General features: G+C 43.9%; 1 pseudogene, besides 1 other annotated feature; it reads right to left on the bottom strand.

The window, feature by feature from the left end:
• Positions 371-872: an enhancer, noted in NCBI's record as "NANOG hESC enhancer chr16:33042552-33043053 (GRCh37/hg19 assembly coordinates)". NCBI's record gives its function as "activates a minimal SCP1, AML or CMV promoter by ChIP-STARR-seq in primed H9 embryonic stem cells {active_cell/tissue: H9 hESC(primed)}" and the evidence as "EXISTENCE:reporter gene assay evidence [ECO:0000049][PMID:30033119]".
• LOC112268181 (uncharacterized) lies at positions 3,791-5,126 on the bottom strand (annotated as a pseudogene).
• Positions 5,127-11,067: the final 5,941 nt, after the last annotated feature.

The following is an 11,067-nucleotide window of genomic DNA, read 5'->3' as shown; positions in this document are numbered from 1 at the left end:
GGCGAAAGTTGCATATGTCAGGAAAAGGCAGGATTAAGTAACAGAGAATTTGAATGATAACTGGCCAATTGGTGTCGTTTACAATTGCAAGTCATACAAATGAAGTTTGCTTTTTTAAAGAGAAAAGGAGTTAGTTAGAATGGGTCAAACTATCGGGGAAGCAATGTAGTTAGAGACAATGCCCAAAACCATGTGAGCAAATGCTCTGTAGAGCGCACCCCTGCAATGCTGCCATTGTGAGGCCAAGTCTCTCCTTGTCTTGGTACTGAGCCCTCCATTCTGCCTCCATCATTGCCACAAATGATCCCACTGTAGCTGCCACAAAATGATCCCTCAACCACCGCTGCCCAGGAACAAAGAAAGAATTCTGTCCTTCCGCGCTCTCAGATCAATTTCCAACATCAGGTGAGACTTTGATGGGCACTATTCAGTTCCCAAATCCCTGAAATAGATGCAGTAAAAACATAGAAATTGCCTATGTGTTTCCCAATAAGACACATATGGAAGCCTGTTTTCCCACAACAGGAAGGGGTTTCCACGATGGGTGCTCAAAGGAACAATATTCCCTGTAAACCATACTTTGCCCATATGAAGAAGAGCAATAAGGATTATTTAGTAAATAGACATGGAAACTCATCCAGGGTTGGTTGATGAGAAGCTGGTTAGCAAGGGGGTCTGCCTTCAGTTAGGACAAGGTCTGTGCTTCCCACGGGTTCTCTCCACATCAGGAGGGATGCAAACTTCCCTTTCCTCCCCTGCACCTACCCTCAAATGGCCCAGAGGTCTTCAGGTGCTAGAATTTCTCAATGAATGCTGCACAAAATAACAGACAGCCTTGACTGTCACTGTCTGTTCTCATGAAGCTAGTCTCTGCTTACTACATAAAACAGAAGAGTAAGAACAAGGGTGTTAAACACTACCCTAGCTCAAACAAGTTTCTCTCTGTAGGATGCGAAGAACCTGGGAACCAGTGCATCTGCTGCTTTCCCTTCTCGGATTCTAGCCCAGACAAAAGAGGCAAGGGGCATTTCTTCAGAGACCTTGAGCTTCACTACACAATGCCCCAGGCTCTACATGCACCCTCTTTATATATTTCTACCTTGAAAAAAAATTTTATATAATAACATATTTTTATATAAGGAACACATATGTTTATTTTATAGATAGATATACATAGATAAAGATCTCTAGTCTGCCTTTTTTAAGGCTGAGCTGATCGCGGTGCCCCAAAACTATAATCCCAGCACTTTGGGAGGCCAAGGTGGCCAGATCTCTTGAGTCCAGGAGATGGAGATCAGCCAGGGCAAGATGGTGAAACCCCATCTTTACAAAATTAGCTAGTATGGTGTCATGCACTTGCAGTCCCTGCTACTCAGGAGACTGAGGTGGGAGAATCGCTTGAGCACAGTATGTGAAGGCTTCAGTGAGCTCTGATCACATGACTGCACTCCATCTTGGGTGACAAAGTGAGACCCACTCTCAAAATAAAATAAAATAAAAAGGCTACCACCATACTCACAGATAAGTGTGTCAGGTATATTTGCAGCTATCTTTCCTATATTCTATTTGGTAAAAAAAAAAAAATTGCAAAGAACTCTTCTCATTCTAGATTTTTGTATTAATTAGACATTTGAAGTTTATAGCAGAAGAGCTATAATCATGTTTGGTATGTGTACTCTATAGACCAGATAGTGCAAACATATATCAATGCTTTTTAAAAGTATATAAGGTTATTAGAAATATTTTAAACTACCTATAGGTATATATGTATCTAATTCAACTATCAAATCAAGTAAGATCATTTCCTTAGCGTGTGAAATGCACTCAATTTATTAAAATATTTTCTAATGTCTATTACAATAATATTTCTTAATTAGCTAACATAAGAGGAGTTTTAAGACATTTATTTATATGTACTTACTAGATTCAAACTCGATTCCACTATTTTCAGAAATCATGCTCCGAGACAAGTCCTTTTTTTATCTAACTCTGTTTCTACCTATATTAAAAGACAGATATGTCAATTTTGCTAATCATGCTGTTCCAAACCTCTCCATCCTATTTTTCGGTTTGTTCTACCAGTCATTCAGAGACTTACTTATATGCAAATTTCTCTCTAGGTTTAACATTTGTGTATGTCTTCTTGTGTTTTTGTCTATTTTTGCTGTATATAATTTATTTATTGACATATACATGCAGAAAAGTACAATGATTAAATATGGATAGCTTCATTAATGAAACACATGTATTTGCTTATAACCATGTATGAAAATAGAACATTACTAAAAATAGAGATACTTCTCCTGCCCCTTTCCAAACACTAACCCTCATCCTCAATAGTAACAGATTTTTTTTTATCATAGAGTAATTTGGTCTATTTTCAAATTTTTATTAAATAAATCAGAGTATCTACTCTAAGTCTATGTTTCTTTCATTGTTGTTATTTTGCTTATAGTATTTATCTGCTAATGGACATGGTAGATTAAAGACGGCTACATACACATTTTTTAATTAATAGATTTTTTGAGCACTTTGTGGCTCATGCCTCTAATCCCACCACTTTGGGAGGCTGAGGTGCGGGGATCATGAGGTCAGGAGATCGAGACCATCCTGGCCAACGTGGTAAAACCCCTTCTCTACTAAAATACAAAAAATTAGCTGCTACATAACATCAAGATAACATGTGGGTTCTTAGCTGCACTGAGTCAAGCCTACTTACATCTTTGTTTGTCTTCCTCTGCACTTTTCCTTCCACATCACACTCCAGGAATGCCAAGCTGTGCTGGCTGTCTACCCCATTTCCACTATTTTGCCCCCGCCGACGCGGCTTTTTGCCGTCGTGGATTTTTGACCCCGCCGCTGCGGGTTTTTGCGGCTTTCTGCCCCCGCCGCCGCGGCTTTCTGCCCCCGGCCTCGCGGAATTTAGCCCCTGCCGCCGCGGCTTTTGGGGCTCTTTGCCCTCGCCGCCGTGGCTTTTTGCCGCCGCAGCTTTTTGGGTCTTTCTCCCCCCACCGCCGCGGCTTTTTGCCCTAGCCTTTGCGGCTTTTTCCCCCTGCTGCCACAGCTTTTTGCCCCCGCCACCGTGAATTTTTCCGCCGCGGCTTTTTGTCACCGCCGCCGCGGCTTTTTACGGCTTTTGGCCCCCGGCGCCGCGGCTTTTTACTGCTTTTCGCCCCCGCCGCCGCAGGTTTTTCCCGCCGTGGCTTCTTGCCCTGCCGCCCCGGCTTTTTGCGGCTTTTTGCCGCCATGGCTTTTGGCCCAGGCCACCGCGGCTTTTTACGCCTTTCCGCCCCCGCCGCCGCGGCTTTTTTCCCCCTCCGCCACAGGTTTTTCCAGCCGCGGCTTCTTGCCCCCACTGTCAGGGCTTTTTGTGTCGTTTTGCCCCCCGCCGCCGCGGCTTTTTGCTGCTATTTGCCCCTGCCACCGCAGCTTTTTGCCTCCGCTGCCGCGGCTCCTTGCCCCCTACGCGGCTTCCTGCCCCCACCGCCGCGGCTTTTTATCACCCCAGCCGCTTTTTGCCCCCGCCGCCAGGGTTTTTTGCTCCTGCCGCGGAGGGTTTTTGCGCCTTCATGTCCCCGCCGTCGTGGCTTTTTGCCGCCCCTGCTTTTTGCCCCCTCTGTCGCGGCTTTTTGCGGCTTTTTACCCCCTCCGCCGTGGCTTTTGGCACCGGACGCTGCGGCTTTTTGAGGCTTTTTGCCCCCGACGCTGCGGCTTTTTGCTGCCGCCGCACCGTTTTGCCCCCGCCGCGACTTTTTCCACCGCCGCCGCATCTTTTTGCCGCCGCGGCTTCTTACCCCGCCACCGCGGTTTTTATCCCGGCCGTCGCGGCTTTCTGACCCCGATGCTGTGGCTTTTTACGGCTTTTTGCCCCCGTCACCACAGCTTTTTGTCGCCGCGGCTGTTTGCCTCGGCCGCCCTGGCTTGTTGCCCCCGCCGCCGTGGCTTGTTGCCCCCGTCGCCCCGGCTTTTTCCCCCACCGCCCCGGCTTTTGGACCCCACCGTTGCGGCTTTTTGCGCCCGCTGCCGCGGCTTTTTGTGGCTTTTTGCCCCCGCCGCCGCGGCTTTTTGCCGACGCGGCTTTTTACTCCCGCCGCCACAGGTTTTTACCCCTGCGGCTTTTTCACCCTGCCGTCGCGTGTTTTTGCCCCCACCGCCGTGACTTTTTACCCCCACCGCCGCGGGTCTGAGGGCGGGATCAGCAGACTCAGCTGCCAGATCTACCTGCGTCCTGGCTAAGGCAGCGCCGAGGGTCACTCCTGGTCCAGCTCTCCCGGTTCGGGGGTTCCTTGCCTAGACACCCGCGCCCCAGGCTCTGTTCCTGGGCAGCTGCAGCCAGCATAGAGCTGCGCTGCGCTCGGCCCCGATGGGAGAGAAGAAGGAGAGCGGTGGAGGGGGTGACGCGGCTATCGCGGAGGGAGGCGCAGGGGCCGCAGCCAGCCGGGTGCTGCAGCAGTGCGGGCAGCTTCAGAAGCTCATCGGCATCTCTCTTGGCAGCCTGCGCGGGCTGCCCACCAAGTGCACTGTGTCCAAGGACCTCACCCAGCAGGAGATACGGACCGTGCAGGTAAGGGGATCAGGGACCAGAGCTGGGCTCCAGCACCAGACTGGACATCTCCCTCGGGGCCCCAGTTCACTCCTGGCCGAGTTGCATCCTTGAGCCTGCGTCACCCCCTTGGAGGCTTCTCCTCCCTCCTGCACTCGCTGATGCGGCAGCTGGAGGACCCGGGACCAGCCCTCACCTTGGGCAGGATTTGTGGGGTAGGTGCGTGTTGGGAACTGTGATGGAGGCTCAAGGGGCCCGTGGGCGGGGTGGGCTGCGCGCGGACATCCCCTTACGCCTCGAATTTCCATCTGGTGCAGCCTTCTCATCTTGTAGGTGAGGAAACCGAAGGCCTGAGGGAGAAATGACTTGCCAGGAACCCCTGTTAAGGAAAATTAACAAAGTGTGGTTATCAAAGGAGAACTGAGTTCAGATTCAAACCTGGAGTCCCACACCCTTGGTTAAGACATTATATCACCTTGAGTCTGGCCTGTTGACTGAGGGTGAGGCACTCCATCCTTGTCTGATTGTGGGGTCTTGACCTCAAATGGTTTCCTGCAGGAAGAAGCAAATGGGTTTGCTTTCCTAGCTCTGTCCAGTACCTTAGGGACCCTGAGAACTGGAGAGATTCTTGGAGAGCCATCTGGTGTATGTCACGGGTGGGCCTTGTTTGAAGGTCAGTCTGCCCAGTGGGCTGGCTCAGCCCGAATGAACTGTCTTGAATCTTTGGAGATGTCTGGGTACTTTTAAGGGTTTCTCATCCTTGCACCAAAAGATCCCCTGGAAATTAGGTGGGAAAACCTTAACTTTTGTGGAGCCTTGTATTTGTCTTAAAAGTTCATGCACATAGCCAGGTGTGGTGGCTCACACCTGTTATCCTGTCCTGGATCCCTTGAGTCAAGGAGTTAGAGACCAATCTGGACAATATAGTGAGACCCCATCTCTACAAAAAATAAAATATTAGCCAGGAGTGGTTGTGCACATCTGTAGTCCTAGCTACTACTGTGGCTGAGGCGGGAGGAGCACTTGAGCCTGCACTGAGCTGTGATCTCACCAGTGTATTCCAGCCTGGGCCACAGAACAACACCTTGACTCAAAAAAAAAAAAAAAAAAACCCAACAAGAAAAATTCTTGAAGATTTTGCATTCTGTCCCACTATCCATTGGTTTTCATGTCAAGATAATGTTAGAAATTCTTTACAATTGCTTCCAGAAGGAGTAGCCTTTTGATCTAGTGCACAGGTGTCCAGTCTTTTGGCTTCTCAGGGCCACATTGGAAGAAGAATGCTCCTGGGCCACAGATAAAATACACTACTGCTAATGATAGCTGATGAGCTTAAAAAAAAAAGGTTTGTGCATAATTTTCATGATACCCACCACCACAGATAGGCGGAAAAGTCCTTGTAGTCAAAGGGTTGGACAGGGCTGATCTAGTGTCTTGTCGTCCGTTTTGGCTTTCTCCCTGACTCCAGAATGCAGGTAGAGATGTAGAGACATGCTCCCAGGACAGCTGTTGAGATAAAAAAAAATTCATTGTCATTTATTCCCAAGGACAGCTGTTTGCCATTTGCATTGAAAAAGTCTCCATTCAAACTGCTGTCACATATAAAATCTACTTATATAAGTCTGTATTTTTCTGTTGTCTTGGCCTTTGTGGGCAGTAGTGTGTTTTAACCGAGCAAACTGTCCTTCCAAATAATGAAGCCGAAGTCAGCCTACCTGCTTGCCATTTTTCTTCCCCTTCCATTTTTCTAACCTCAGGATAATTGTAAGAATGAATTAAGATTTGTGTGTAAGGCCAGGCACAGTGTCTCAGGCCTGTAATCCCAGCACTTTGGGAGGCGGAGACGGATGTATCGCTTGAGCTCAGGAGTTGAAGACCAGCCTGGGCAAAATACTGAGACTCCGTCTTGTGTAATTAAATTAAAATTTTAAAAAAGAAGAGAAAAGGACCTGTGTTTAAAATTTTAAAAAAGGGGGGAAAGTGTAATGCAAAATGTGGACCATGCTAGCTATGACTGGGAAAAATAATTTTTCCTGCAGCATTATCTGTAGACTTGTGTTAGCAGCATACTGGTCATAAGCGTTTTGCTTTCGTCAAATATGATGAGGTAAGCTATTTTAAAGTGTGGTGGTGCTTTCTTCTGCATGGCTCCTGGAGGTGTTGAGTCCCAATTTAGCCAATTAATTTGGGTTTAATTTTGATATGGATAAGGGAGACCAGCTTCATTCATGGTGCACACACAGTTTTGCCAGTAAGGAAAAAAAAAGCAACCTGAATGTTCCTACTCAGTAGATGCTATCTGGAGAGCTCCTACCCCACCCCCACCAAGGCCCGGGCCATTAAAAAGACTCAATGCAGCCTTTCTGGATCTCATACTGTATTCTGCAAGATACTCCTGTGAAAGAAAGTTGTGCTGCATCAGCCATCTCCCTCCTGAAGATCCCTGCGGATGAGGATTTGTGTTTTGAAAGTTCTGAGAATTCCTGCAACAACAATTCTCAAACTTATTTGTCCAGGGGATCTTTTCTTCCACTGAATGTAGTTGGGGAGACACGGCCTTAAGCCTTGAGCAGAGAAAGAGACAGAGAGCAGCAGCTGGGTGCATGATCCAAGTGTACGGTTCTGCCTGTAGGTGGAGGGAGGAAGGTGCATTCCCAGAGCTAACACACTGTGGATTTTTATACAGAATACATGTTTTCAACTGATTTATTGGAAGGCATATGAAAAAATGGGCAGTCCACAAACAATTGTAATTTCCAGATTTACCACAATTGCATTATTTCTTCATTCTGCACGATGTCCTGGAACAGAGTTGCATTTTTCATGAGTATTGTTTCATGGATTGAGAACATGAATTTCACACCTACATTTTTAGCCATGTGCAGAGACCTTGAGTAGAGCATGTCTGGACCTCATCTACACTATCTCTCATGCCCCAAGGGAAAGAGTGGAGACTTGACTGACAGCAAACTTTGGGGAATTAATGAACGTTAATATTTTCTTATAGACGAATAAACATATTGGGCTAGAAGATCTACTCAGTGGGAAAAGTAAGGTTTTAGTTATCCCTGTTGAAAGTTTTTTTTTCATTTATTTTGCTGCATTTGAAAAGCTGGTGATCTTAACATTGCCTATATTTTTAATAATCTTAAGATTTTTTAGTTTTTATGTTTTGTTAGGGATCAGGCAATGGAAGATGCATATTTATAGATGAAACTTACAATATAAGGTAAATATTGACTTACTAATAGTTATGCGAGAATATTTATTTGATCCCAATTTTATATAGTTGAGTGTGTGAAGTTGCAGGTCAAGATAACTTGGAGTTTCAACACCAAGTTTTATTCATGTGTTCATTGATGAACAGGATGCCTCCAATGTGGAGAAATTTACAATGAATAAGCATGAATAGGACCTGGCCAGTGAGCTTTCAGTCTAGCAAGGAATGTAGAACAGGAACATAGCAACTCTAATCCAATGTAGAGAGAGAGACAATTTTAAATCCAATTGAAAAATAAATAGCTGTGTTAGACTGAGGCCATCAAATAAAGCTTCATGCAATAAGCAGCAATAGGTCTTCAAAGATGACAGTTTAGCAAAAGGCACAAAAGTGAAAAGTGCAGAGCATTAAGTAGTGTATGGTTTAGTGTGCTGGAAATAACAGGTTGGACAAGAGTTGTGACTAGGATAAACAGCAAAAAGGATTTATGAGAGCCTGATGGCCACTAGTGACTGGGTAAGATGTGTACACTTTCTGTGCAGGAAAAGGGACAAAGCTTTTGAGCAGCAGAGAAACATGATCAGAGGGATGCATGAGGAAGGTCCTGAAAACCCTAATGAGTAATCTTGGTTAAACCATTTCACTATAACTCAAGTTTTGCATGTATATACTATAATAGAAACAACATTTGTGCTCTTCCCATATGTAGAGAGGTCAAAAGAAAATCTGTTCATATAATCTTCCAAGCCAGTCACAAAGACTAAGACAAAACACTTACATAAATAAAATTCATAAGATGAATTTTAAAAGATGAAAGATAGTCAATACATTTTATTTTATAACTTGGAAATTTAAACTCCTGAAAATATACCTTAATTTAAAATACGGAGGAAAGGAACAAAATCAATGTGCAAAAATCACAAGCATTCTTATACACCAATAACAGACGAACAGAGAGCCAAATCATGAGTGAACTCCCATTCACAATTGCTTCAAAGAGAATAAAATACCTAGGAATCCAACTTACAAGGGACGTGAAGGACCTCTTCAAAGAGAACTACAAACCACTGCTCAATGAAATAAAAGAGGACACAAACAAATGGAAGAACATTCCATGCTCATGGGGAGGAAGAATCAATATCGTGAAAATGGCCATACTGCCCAAGGTAATTTATAGATTCAATGCCAACCCCATCAAGCTACCAATGACTTTCTTCACAGAATTGGAAAAAACTATTTTAAAGTTCATATGGAACAAAAAAGGGCCCGCATTGCCAAGTCACTCCTAAGCCAAAAGAACAAAGCTGGAGGCATCACGCTACCTGACTTCAAGCTGTGCTACAAGACTACAGTAACCAAAACAGCATGGTACTGGTACCAAAACAGAGATATAGACCAATGGAACAGAACAGAGCCCTCAGAAATAATGCCGCATATCTACAACCATCTGATCTTTGACAAATCTGACAAATACAAGAAATGGGGAAATGATTCCGTATTTAATAAATGGTTCTGGAAAAACTATTATAATTGATAAAAAATTCTGTAAATTTGCAGAATACAACACCTACATACAAAAATTGGTGGCATTGCTAAATGCAAACAGCAAAAAATCAATAAAGCATTTTGTTTATAATAGCTAAAAATTATATTTCATATTACCAAATAAGTGAAAGATTTCTAAAAGGAAACCAAAAATGATTGATAATAAAATATAAAGCAAACACACACAAATTGAAAATATATCTGAAATATTCCATGTTCATGGTTCAGAAAAATTAATAGTTATTTTTTTCTTTCTTTTTTTATAATAATTTAAGTTCTAGGGTCCATGTGCACAACGTGTAGGTTTGTTACATATGTATACATGTGCTATGTTGGTGTGCTGCACCCATTAACATTACATTAGGTGTATCACCTAATGCTATCCCTCCCAGCTCCCACGACCCCATGACAGGCCCCGGTGTGTGTGTGATGTTCCCCACCCTTAGTCCAAATGTTCTCATTGTTCAATTCCCACCTATGAGTGAGAACATGCGGTGTTTGGTTTTCTGTCCTTGTGATAGTTTGCTCAGAATGATGGTTTCCATTTTCATCCATGTCCCTACAAAGGACATGAACTCATCCTTTTTAATGGCTGCATAGTATTCCATGGTGTATATGTGCCACATTTTCTTAATCCAGTCTATCACTGATGGACATTTGGGTTGGCTCCAAGTCTTTGCTATTGTCAATAGTGACACAATAAACATAAGTGTGCATGTGTCTTTATAGCAGCATGATTTATAATCCTTTGAGTATATACCAAGTAATGGGATTGCTGGGTCAAATGGTATTTCTAGTTCTAGATCCTTGAGGATCACCAAACTGTCTTCCACAATGGTTGAACTAGTTTACAGTCCCACCAACAGTGTAAAAGTTTTCCTATTTCTCCACATCCTCACCAGCGCCTGTTGTTCCCTGACTTTTTAATGATTGCCATTCCAACTGGTGTGAGATGGTATCTCATTGTGGTTTTGATTTGCATTTCTCTGATGGCCAGTGATGATGAGCCTTTTTTCATGTGTCTGTTGGCTGCATAAATGTCTTCTTTTGAGAAGTGTCTGTTCATATCCTTCGCCCAATTTGTGATGGGGTTGTTTGTTTTTTTCTTGTAAATTTGTTTGAGTTCATTGTAGATTCTGGGTATTAGCCCTTTGTCAGATGAGTAGATTGCAAAAATTTTCTCCCATTCTGTTGGTTGCCTGTTCACTCTGATGGTAGTTTCTTTTGCTGTGCAGAAGCTCTGTAGTTTAATTAGATCCCATTGGTCAATTTTGGCTTTTGTTGCCATTGCTTTTGGTGTTTTAGACATGAAGTCCCTGCCCATGCCTATGTTCTGAATGGTATTGCCTAGGTTTTCTTCTAGGGTTTTTACAGTTTTAGATCTAACATTTAAGTCTTTAATCCATCTTGAATTAAGTTTTGTGTAAGGTGTAAGGAAGGGCTCCAGTTTCAGCTTTCCACAAATGGCTAGCCAGTCTTCCCAGTACCATTTATAAATAGGTAATCCTTTCCCCATTTCTTGTTTTTGTCAGGTTTGTCAAAGATCAGATAGTAGTAGATGTATGGTATTTTCTGAGGGCTCTGTTCTGTTCCATTGGCCTATACCTCTGTTTTGGTGCCAGTACCATCCTGTTTTGGTTACTATAGGCTTGTAGTATAGTTTGAAGTCAGGTATTGTGATGCCTCCATCTTTGTTCTTTTGGCTTAGGATTGACTTGGCAATGTGGGCCCTTTTTTGGTTCCATATGAACTTTAAAGT

The sequence above is a fragment of the Homo sapiens genome, chromosome 16 (assembly GCF_000001405.40).
Source record: "Homo sapiens chromosome 16, GRCh38.p14 Primary Assembly".
NCBI classification, from domain to species: Eukaryota; Metazoa; Chordata; class Mammalia; order Primates; family Hominidae; genus Homo; species Homo sapiens.
Note: the sequence above shows the minus strand (reverse complement) of the source record. Positions and strands in the feature narration are given on the sequence as shown.